This window comes from Homo sapiens, chromosome 3, assembly GCF_000001405.40.
Source record: "Homo sapiens chromosome 3, GRCh38.p14 Primary Assembly".
Lineage (NCBI taxonomy): Eukaryota > Metazoa > Chordata > Mammalia > Primates > Hominidae > Homo > Homo sapiens.
Genome location: NC_000003.12, coordinates 21,399,712 through 21,411,416, shown reverse-complemented (window position 1 = coordinate 21,411,416; position 11,705 = coordinate 21,399,712). Strand labels below are relative to the sequence as shown.

Genomic DNA, 11,705 nt, shown 5'->3' with positions numbered 1-11,705 from the left:
TTTCTCTATGCCTATCATTTATTACCATAACCATATTTAAATCAATGTGAATCTTACATAAGTGAATAATAAAAGTTAGACCTTTTGATGTAATAATGATGCAACACAACTGTTCTCTTTGTATGCATTATAAAATGGAAAGTTGGATTGAATATTCTGCCTAATGCTACATGCTCACATCAATCTGCAACTGTAAAATTTTCCAGACACCAGAGCCCCACAGATTGCAGACTCCACCAATTTCCTGACTACTACGTAGTCAAATACCAGGTTCACCTATTTACAAAACCAGCTCTTTCTTCCATGTTAGTTCAAAACATGTTTCTGGTGTTGATACCAATGCTCCATCCCAGTGGGGAGCTATGGATGACACAACTTATTTCTAAAAGAAATCTAGTTCGTGTGTTCAAAACTTATTTTACTAGGAAAGAAGGAATGTATCAGCAAGTGCCTGAAACGTTCTCTACTGGTCTTCTAAGGCTGATGTCTTTATATTTCATCTTAGCGAAAAGAGCAGAAATAATAATACCAAAAAGAGGGGAAGAAAAAGGAAAAGTGGAAGAAAAAAAAGTTAGACAAGATGTAACATTATAAAAACAACCTTAAAATGCCCAGATATAACTCTAATAGGAGACTGAACGAATAGACTTTGTGGGAAAAACAGTAGTAAACTTTAAAGCCTCTGAAAGAATTATATGCCTAAGGGAAAAATAAACATTTGCTTCCAAAATTAAAATAAAATGAGAATTTCTGATTTTTCTTGAAAAGTAAAAAAAAAAAAAAAAAAAAATCTGAGAGTGTCCTGGTACTGAATTCCCACTAGGCGTTTATTGGCTGCAGAACTAGCTAAATGAACTGCGACTGGCCCCTTTGGACTAAACAGAATTTTACAACTTTCTACAATCTGTACTTGAAGGCCCCAGTCTTTGCTTTGTGCAGGTCCCTGTAATAAGTTTGGTTTGCAACCCCCAGCATGGCTTATAGGTTCTTAGCCACCAGGTACTCTTTTACTAGCTAGTCTTAAGGGTCTTCATCCATCTACCTTCTCTCCCAGTGGGTTCCCCTTGTAATGTTTTTTATTATTATTTTGGATAGGCATTTTCAACAAGGGGAGTTTTTTTTTTACAAACACCTTCAATAAAGGTTTTCTTTACCAGAGTATGATCTGTGACAAATTAGTGACTTGAGTGTGTGTGGGATTTCTTACAGTTGACACCTAGGAAAGATTTGATTTGGTTTATGCAGTGGGTGACTATACCAAGAAACAAATTCTGTCATTTTTTTTGTGTGTTTCTCTACAGGAAGGTTTGGCTTCTGCTAATAGCAGAAATTGGACTTTAGGAAGAAAGACCAAACATTTTTCATATGAAAACAAGTCCTTACCTATTTAATTCTCTCTTGAAGTCAGATATGAAGAAAATTCAGAAATATTGTTTCTGAATATACATTTGCTGAATACATTCTGATTCTTTAGAGGGCCACTGACACTCTCCCCCAAATACATGTAACCTGTCAGATTATCAGTTTGAAAAAGATCCATACAAACATGTTTTATCAACTTTCAAAATAACCCCCCTTTTCCCCAACATTCAGGAACAGCATTTAAAATGCAGAATTATCCATCACATGCTAAATATCTATCCTTTTCATCTGCCTATGCAATAAACTAACCCAATTAACGTTGATATTAGCATCTATACTTTTGAAATCACTAATTATCTAATAGCAGAGGTCTCTTTCACATTGTTTTGCTTAGAAATAAAAAATAGGGCTGTTCATAAGTTTCCATTGAGTATTCCAAGCCAGAAAGCCCTCGCCACAGCTGGATTTGGAAGCTTAAATAACATACAACTTCACATTTCTCAAAGTGTGTAATCCAGGCATTATGAATAATTTCTAGCCAAATCCTAAGAAATTGTACATGATCTTTCTAAACATAGGCTGGGAATTGTTATGCTGAAGCAAAAATGAAGTGTCAGGTAATGTCTGATGCTGGGGAAAACAATTAGAACATTACTGAATTACCCTCCTGTTAAAGAGCTCACTTTCACCTTCAAAAGCTAATTATCAGTTTACCATGTTTTATTCATTAATTAGAATTATTTTCTAGAGTGTCAGAGCATTTCAGGTGGGTTGGGTTATGATGGAAAAGACTAGATAATCATAACCTCTGCAAGTTTGTGATTTATTTAGCCAAAGATGCAGAACTTATGGGAAGCAAAATGCTATACAGGGCAGTAGAAAACGAGGTCTATTGTGGCCACTGTTTCTTTTCCTCTGGATTCCTTTTAGGTGGGAGGTAGGAGAAACAGGGCCACAGTTGCCAGGGATGCTTGCTTGGTACAGATATGGCTCTGCCAGATTTATTTAAGAAAGCCTATTTTATGCTAACTCACTGCCATTGTATACTCAGGTATATTAGTTTCCTTGGGCTTCTGAAACAAATTGCCATAAACTTTGTTGGCTTGAAACAACAAAAAATGTAGTCTCTCACGGTTCTAGAGGTGGGAAGTCAAAAATCAAAGTATTAGCAGGATTGGTTGTTTCTTAGATTGTCAGAGGAAGACTGTTCCATGTCTCACTCTTCTGGTGGTTGCTGGCAATCCTTGGCATTCTGTGGCTTGTAGATATGCACTCCAGTGTCGGCCTTTGTCATTTATTGGGCTTGTTCCTATGTGTCTTCACGACTTTCGTTTCTCTGCATGTTTGTCTTTTCTCTTTTTCTTATAAGGACACCAGTCATATTGGATTTAGGATTCATCCTACTCAAGTGTGACCTCATCTTAACTAATTACATCTGCTAAGACCCTATTTCCAAGTAAAGCCACATTTTCAGGTTCTTCTAGAGGTAGAACTTCAACATATGTTTTTGGGAGAATCAAATCAACCCACAACATTAGGTTTCTCTTACCCTTCCTCGAGAACTCACATTCAATTTGTACCCTTCCCTTTAAGGAGACATTTGCTATCTTAATACTTTGCTAGTTCATGAACAAAACCACCATCATAAAGCCACTTTTATTGTTGAGATTTGAGGTGCAGGCAAGCAAAACAGGGCCCTGAAAACTATCTTTGTTCCTATTTTTTTCTTTTTTCTAAAAATGCCATACCTTGCTAGCCACACCAAATCCCATTGTCTTAGGTTAGGTCCTCTAGAAGCAGAGCCCAAAATGGGCTTCTCAGCAAAGTTCTTTGTTACTGAAGGGGTACTTACAGGGGGAAAGGGGTCAAGGATGTAGAATGGGATGAAGTAAAAAACTTGACGTCCAGTTTCAGGCTAGTCTCATAAGAAGCTCAAATATTTCTAGTACTTTTTAAAAATAGCATGTGATCATTAATACAATCCAAGGATAAGGTATGAAAGAGACAGGTGCAATTAGAAGGAAAAAAAGAGATGCATAACATCAACTCTTAGTGCCATTGAAAGTTATGGGTCATTTTTAGGTAGTCTGATTAGTCATTCTAGTTTGCCTGAAATACTTCCAATTTATGCCTGTTACACCGAAGCAATCATTAATCATGCTCCATGTCAAGCTAACATTTTTTTTATTTGTTTAATAAAATGTATGAGTTTAATCTTTTTCAAATTTATAAAACAAGTGGACTGAAATAAGAACTTTTCCAATAACAATTTTTAAAGTAATTTGTATTTAATAAAACAGATTATGAGGGAATCTAATTCAGAAGACATAAAATGTTTACCCTAGAAAAGTAATTGATATTTTAGATTACAATAATATTACTGAATATCTTATTTCTCCATCTGTCCACTCTTCATCCATTCGTGCATACTTTATTAATATGCGGTTATAATGTACCCTATACTATATTGGATAGGAGAGGGAAGGGTAACTAAAACATACCCAGCAACACACTCTGTGCCAAATGCGTATTTATTTATGTTTATTCATACATAATATTTTACATATTTATGGAGTACATGTGATATTTTTTTATATGCATAGACTGTATAATAATCAAGTCAAGGATTTGAGGCATCCATCACTTTGAGTATTTATTATTTCTATGCATTGGGAACGATTCAAATCCTCTCTTCTAGAAACACTGAAATATACAATATGTGTTCTTAACTATAGTCACTCTACAGTGGAAAGATAGGATTTATACTTTTTATCTAACTGTGTATTTGTGCCTGTTAACCTACCTCTTCTCATCCTCCCCTCACCCACCCAACATTCTTAGCTTCTAGTATCTATTATTCTACTCTCTGCCTTTACATGATTAACATTTTTAGCTCCCACACATGAGTAAGGACATGCGGTTTGTCTTTCTGTGCCTGGGTTATTTCACTTAAAATAATGATATACACTTTCATCCTGGTTGCTGATACACGATTACATTCTTTTTTATAGCCAAATAGTACACCATTGTGAATGTATACCACATTTTTTCTTTCTCTATTTGTTGATTGATGGACACTTACATGGATCCCATTTCTTTACTATCGAGAATAGAGCTGTGATAAACATGCCAGTGCCGGTATCCCTTTGATATATTCACTGGTTTCTATTCCTTTGGATAGACCCTCAGTAGTGGGATTGCTGATGAATATGGTAGCTGTATTTTTAGTTTTCTGATAAATCTCTACAGTATTTTCCACAATGGTTGTACTAATGTACATTCCCACCAACAGTGTATAAGAGTTCCCTTTTCTCCACACTTCACCAGTATCTATTGCTTTTTGTCCTTTTTTTTTTTTTTTTTTTTTTTTTAAGTGAAGAGGTGACTTTAACAAATATATTCTCCAGAAATCTCCAGAACCTTTGCGAGGGTCAGGGTGAGAGGTGCCGCCACGATGTAAACAGAACAGCTGAGTCCTCCGGGTAGGCGTCAGATGCGATCTGCACAGACCGCTTGTGTGGGAGGCATGTAGTCGGAGGCGTTTCCTCAAATGCATCCCCTGTCTCTGGCAGAGCACACAGGCCCCGGGGCCCCGTGGACAGGGCTGGTCCCAGCTTATGCGCACCACTTCCTGGGCGTGGGGGGTGGTATGCCAGAGGCTGCCCGCAGCAGGAAGCCCACGAAGAGGCCAGGGCCTCTTGATCCATTTGTCGGAGACCCCAGAAGGAGCCAAGGGGCAGCCAGGGGACCCAGGCAGGGGTGCCCAAGGGCACAGCAGCTGCAGGCCATTGGCAAGGCCAGAAGATGGTGAGTGGAAAGCAGGGGGCCCGTGGAGAGACCCCGATAAGGGGCCGTTTAGCTGGGAGTCCTGCATTTGCCGTTTGTGTTTCATCCGGCGATTTTGAAACCAGGTTTTTATCTGGACCTCTGAGAGCTGCATCTCCCTGGCCAGCCAATTCCGCTCCAGAGGGCCCAGGTACTGGTGGTGCCGGAAGACGCCCTCCAAGGCACGGACCTGCTCCGTGGTGAAGGCTGTGCGGACACCGGGAGCCAGCTAGGGGTTTGGCTCCTTACTCAACCCAGCCACAGTCCTCTCCGGCGCATGCAGATTTGACGAGCTAGCCTCCTTGGTACTGACAGCCTGAGGGGGCTCCCGGGTGCCGAACGTCTGGCCCGGGCCAGGGAGGCTCCCGGGGGAGACGTCGGCAGGCCTGGGGGTGTGGGTCGACCCTGAGCAGCTGCTCAGGCAGAGCCAGTCCACGGAGCCAAAGCTGGAGGGCTGCTGCCAGCCACGAGGTGGGGAGGAGGAGAGACACATGGCGGTCAGGTGGGCCGGAGGGAAGGTCGGGCGGGGCTGGCCAGGCGCAGGATCCAGCTTGCTTTTTGTCTTTTTAATAATAGCCATTTTAACTAGGATAAGATGATATGTAATCTTTAGTTTTGATTTGCATTTTCCTGATAAATAATGATGCTGATAATTTTTTCGTATACTTGTTGGCCATTTGTATGTATTCTTTTGAGAACTGTCTTTTCATGTTCTTTCCCACTTTTTTTTTTTTTTTTGAGACAGAGTTTCACTCTGTCACACAGGCTGGAGTGCAGTAGCAGGATCTCGGCTCATTACAACCTCTGAATCCCTGATTCAAGTGATTTTCGTGCCTCAGTCTCCCACGTAACTGGGATTACAGGTGTGTGCCACCAAGCCAGGCTTATTTTTGTATTTTTAGTAGAGACGGGGTTTCACCATGTTGGCCAGGCTGGTCTTGAACTGCTGACCTCAAGTGATTCGCCCACCTCGGCCTCCCAAAGTGCTGGGATTAAAAATGTGAGCCACCTTGCCTGGCCCCATTCTGCTCACTGTTTAATGGAATTTTTCTTTTTTTTAATTGTTTAGTTGTTTGAGTTCTTTGTATATTCTGATTAATTCCTTTTCAGATGAATGATTTGCAAACATTTTCTCCCATTCAACTGTCAACTGGTTGTCTCTTCACTCTGTTTCTTTTACTGTGCAGAAGGTTTTTAGTTTAATATAGTCTGGTTAGCCTATTTTTGTTTTAGTTGTTTGTGCTTTTGAGGTCTTAGCCACAAAATCTTGGCCTAGACTAATATTCTGAATTGTTTTCTCTGTGTTTTCTTCTAGTAGTTTTATAAGTTTAGGTCTTACATTTAAGTGTTTAATCCATCTTGAGTTGATTTTTATAGATGAGGAGAGAAAGAAGTCCAGTTTCATTTTTCTGAATACGGACATCCAATTTTCCCAGCACTATTTTTTGAAGAGGTCGTCCTTTCTCCAGTGTATGTTCTTGGTGCCTTTGTAGAAAATCAGTTGACTGTGATATATGCATTTTTTTCTGGGTTCTCTATTATGTTTTATCTGTCTATGTGTCTATTTTTATACCAGTAACCATACTGTTTTGGTAACTACAGCCTTGTAATATATTTTTAAGTAAGGTAATGTGATGCCTTCAGCTTTGTTCATTTTGCTCAGGATTGCTTTGGCTATTTTGGGTCTTTTAATGTTTCCTATGAACTTTAGGATTGTTTTTTCTATTTCTGTGAAAAATGACGTTGGTATTTTCATAGGAATTGAATTAAATCTGTAGACTGCTTTGGGAATTATGGTCATTTTAATGATAACCCTTCTGATCCATGAGCATGGGATGGTCTTTTCATTTGTTTGTATCTTCTTCAATTTCTTTCATCAGTGTGTTACAGTTTAGCTGATAGAGATCTTTCACCTCTCTGGTTAAACATATTCCTAGGTATTTTATTTTTTGCATTTATTGTAAATGATATTGCCATCTTTGTTTTTTTCTTTGGCTATTTCATTATTGGAATATGGAAATGCAGCTGATTGGCCAGGTGCAGTGGCTCACGCCTATAATCCCAGCACTTTGGGAGGCCGAGGTGGGCGGATCATGAGGTCAAGAGATCGAGACCATCCTGGCCAACATGGTGAAACCCCATCTCTACTAAAAATACAAAAATAATTAGCTGCGCTTGGTGGCATGCACCTGTAAAATCCTAGCTACTCAGGAGGCTGAGGTAGGAGAATCACTTGAATCTGGGAGGTAGAGGTTGCAGTGAGCCGAGATTGTGCCACTGCACTCCAGGCTGGTGACAGAGTGAGACTCTGTCTAAATAATAATAATAAATAAATAAATAAATAAATAAATAAATAGATAAATATAAAGAAATGCAGCTGATTTTTGTATGTTGATTTTGTATCTTGCAACTTGACTGAATTTGTTTGTTACCTCTACAAGTTTTTTGACGGAGTCTTTTGTTTTTTCTAAACACAAGGTCATGTTGTCTGCAAAGAGGAACAATTTGTGTTCCTCTTTTCCAATATGAATGCCTTTCATTTCTTTCTCTTGTCTGAATACTCTGGCTAGGACTTCCATGTTGACTGGAAGTGCTGAAAGTAGGCATCTTGTACTTAGAAAAAAGGCTTTCAACGTTTCTCCATTCAGTATGATGTTAGTTGTGGGTTTGTCATATATGGCCTTTACTGAGGTATATTCATTCTATGCCTAGTTAATGTGAAGTTTGTATCTTGAAAAGATGTTGAATTTTATCAAATGTTCTGAGTCTATTGAGATAATAATATAGTTTTTGCCTTTCATTCTGTTGATGTGATACATCATGTTTATTGATTTGTGTATGTTTAATCATCTTGCATCCTCGGTACAAATCCCACTTAATCATGTGTCTTATCTTTTTGATATGCCGTTAAATTTAATTTGCTAGTATTTTGTTGAGAATTTTTGCAACTTTGTTTATCAGTGACGTTGGCCTGTAGTTTTCTCTTTGTCGTTGTGTTTTTCTGGTTTTGGTATTGGGTAATGCTGGCCTTGTCAAATGAGTTAGGAAGAATTATTTTCTCTTTAAAATATACAACAGTTGCAGGAGGGTTTGCATTTATCTTCATTATTATTATTATTATTTTATTTATTTATTTTTTGAGACACAGTCTCACTCTGTCACCCAGGCTGGAGTGCAATAGCATAATCACAGCTTACTGCAGCCTTGATCTCCAGGACTCAAGTGATCCTCCTGCCTCAGCCTCCCAAGTAGCTGGGACCACAGGCATGTGCTGCCATGCTTGGTTATTTTTTAAAATACTTTTTTGTAGAGATGGGGTCTTACTATGCTGCCTAGGCTGGTCTTGAATTCTCAGCCTTAAGTAATCCCCCACCTCTCAAAGTTCTGGGATTACAGGTATGATCCACTGCACCTGGCCAGTATTAGTTTTCTATATGTTTGCTTTCAGCAGTAAATCTATGCAGTTCTGGGCCTTTCTTTGTTGGGAGACTTTTAACTACTAATTCAGTCTCACTACTCATTTTTGACAGTTTAAATTTTCTCTTTCTTCCTGATTCAATCTTCGTAGGTTGCATGTTTCCTAGAATTTATCCATATGCTCTAAGTTTTCTAGTTTCTTAGTGCATAGTTGGTCATAATAGTCTCTAATCAACTTTTTGATGTCTGTGTTATCAGTTGGAATGTTTCATTTTTCATTTCTGATTTTACTTATTTGGGGTTTATCCCTTCTTTTCTTTGTTAGTCTAGCTAGTTGTTAATAGATTTTGCTTATCCTTTTTTTTTTTGTTTTGTTTTGTTTTGTTTTTAGAGTCGGAGTCTCGCTCCCTCACCCAGGCTGGAGTGCAGTGGTGTGATCTCAGCTCACTGCAGCCTCAGCCTCCCAGGTTCAAGCGATTCTCCTGCCTCAGCCTCTCGAATAGCTGGGATTATAGGCATGCGCCACTATGCTCAGCTAATTTTTGTATTTTTAGTAGAGACCGGGTTTTCTCATGTTGGCCAGAATGGTCTCCTGACCTCAGGTGATCCACCCACCTCGGCCTCCCAAAGTGCTGGGATTATAGGTGTGAGCCACCATGCCTGGCCTTGTTTATCATTTTGAAGAGCCCATTTTTGTTTAATTGATCATTTATCCTTTGCATTTTTTTTAGTCTATATTTTGTTCAGTTCAGCTCTGATCTTTAGTATCTCTTTCATTCTGCTAATTGTGAGTGTGGTTTGCTTTTGTTTTTCTAGTTCTTTGAGGTGCATTGTCAAATTACTTATTTAAAATATTTCTACTTTTTTGATGTAGGCATTTATAGCTATCAACTTCCTTTTTTGTTGTACCTCACATGTTTTGATATGTTGTATTTCCATTGCAATTTGTTTCAAAAATTTTTTTGATTTTCATTTTAAATTTTTAATTAGCTCAATGGTTGTTTCATGTTGTTTAATTTTCATGTATTTACATGGTTATTGAAGTTCCTGTTGATATTGATTCCTAGTTTTATTTCAATGTGTTCTGATAAAATACTTAATAGAATTTTGATTTTTAAAAATTTGTTGACACTTGTTTTGTGGCCTAACATGGTCTATCCTGAAGAATGTTTCATGTGCTGATGAGAAGAATGTATATTCTGCAGTTGGATGAAATGTTCTGTAAATGTCTGTTAGGTCCATTTGGTCTAAAGCCCAGTTTAAGTCTACTGTTTCTTTGTTGATTTTCTGTCTGGACGCTCTGTCTAATGCTAAGTGTGGGGTGAAGTCCTATATCATTATTGTACTGGAGTCTATTGCTCTCTTTAGATCTAGTGATGTTTGCTTTATGAATCTGGATGCTCCAGTGTTGGGTGCATACATATTTAGAATGTTATTTCTTCTTGCTGGTTTATTCTTTTATCATTATGTAGTGACCTTGTCTTTTTTTTTTTTTTTTACAGTTTTTTACTGTTTTTCACTTAAAGTCTGTTTTATCTGATAGTATAACTACTTCTGTTCACTTTTGATTTTCATTGCATGGAATATCTTTTTCTCTGCCTTTAGTTTTAGTCTATATGTGTCTTTACAACTAACATGCATTTCTTGTAGAGAACATATAGTTGAATCAGGTGTTTGTTTTTTAAATTGACTCAGCAAGTGTATATCTTTTAAGTGGATAATTTAATTTAAATGCATTGTTATTTATAGATATGTGAGGTTTTCTTCTTTTATATTTTTAATTGTTTTCTGGTTATTTTGTATATTCTTTATTCTGTTTTTTTCCTCTCATTGTTACTCATTGTGATTTGGTGGTTATCTATAGTGGTACTATTTGAGTCTTTCATTATTTTCATTTGTGTATTTGCTTTACAATTATGTTTTATACTTTTGTGTGTTTCCATGATGTTGTCCTTTCACTTCCAGATTTAGGACTCCCTTGAGCATTTCTTGTAAGATCGACTTAGTGGTGAATTCCCTCAGCTTTTGCTTATTTGGGAAATACTTTATTTCGCCTTCATTATGAATAATTTTGCTGGAGATACATAGCATGTTTCTTTAGCAGTTTTTTTTTCTTTCATTGCTTTGAATATAACATCCCATTTTCTCCTGGCCTGTAAGGTTCTGCTGAAAAACTTGCTGTTAATCTGGTGAGGGTTCCTTTATAGGTGATTAGATGCTTTTCCCTTACTGTTTTTAGAATTCTCTCTTTGTAAGTGAATTGAGATATTATTTCTATAATGTGCCATGGAGATTTTTTGCATTGTGTCTGGAGATTGCTGGGCCTCCTGTGTCCTGTAAATCTCTTTCTATACTTGGGAAGTCTTCATCTATTATTTTGTCAAATTTGTTAACTCTTTTGCTCTCTCTTTGCCTTCTGTGCTACTTATAATTCACATATTTGGTTAGAGTATCCCAAATATCACAAAAGTTTGTTCTTTTTTTTTTTGTTTTTCTCTGATTGGATTATTTCAAAAGAACTGTATTTCGGTTCTTAGATTCTTTCTTCTGCTTGATCTAGTCTATTATTGAAGCTTCTGAATGTATTTTATACTTCATTCCATGAATTCTTCAGTACCAGAATGACTGTTTAGTTCTCTTGTTATGATAGGTACCCCTTTGCTAAATTTCTCATTCATATACTGAATTGTTTTTATTTGTTCGTATTGCTTTTTGGAGTTCTATTGCATCTCACTGAGCTTCTTTAGAATCAATAATTTGACTCCTTTTTCTGGGATTTTGTTAATTTCTTTTTATTAGGGACCTGTTTCTGGGTAATTATTGTGTTCCTTTGGGGGTGTCATACTTTCTTGCTTTTCATGTTTCCTGTTCTTGTGTTAATACCTTAATATCTTCATATCTAGTGTGTCAGTTGCTTCTTCCAATTTTTTGAATTTGCTGTCAAAGGAAAGAACATTTTCCTAAGGATGAATCTAAGGGGTTGGTTGGATTGGGCACTTTGGCTTTGATTCTGTGTTCATACAGTGGTATAGTCTCTGTATGACTTCTACAGCTATAGGCAGCATCAGCGATATCTGATATTTCCTTATGCAGTTATTAGT

General features: G+C 37.5%; 1 pseudogene across 1 annotated transcript, besides 1 other annotated feature; it reads right to left on the bottom strand.

Annotated features, from left to right (window-relative positions):
• Positions 1-4,708: 4,708 nt before the first annotated feature.
• VENTXP7 (VENT homeobox pseudogene 7) lies at positions 4,709-5,691 on the bottom strand (annotated as a pseudogene). The gene has a single exon (NR_002311.1). The product of NR_002311.1 is annotated as a VENT homeobox pseudogene 7 (transcript).
• Positions 5,054-5,557: an enhancer, noted in NCBI's record as "H3K27ac-H3K4me1 hESC enhancer chr3:21447352-21447855 (GRCh37/hg19 assembly coordinates)". NCBI's record gives its function as "activates a minimal SCP1, AML or CMV promoter by ChIP-STARR-seq in primed H9 embryonic stem cells {active_cell/tissue: H9 hESC(primed)}" and the evidence as "EXISTENCE:reporter gene assay evidence [ECO:0000049][PMID:30033119]".
• Positions 5,692-11,705: the final 6,014 nt, after the last annotated feature.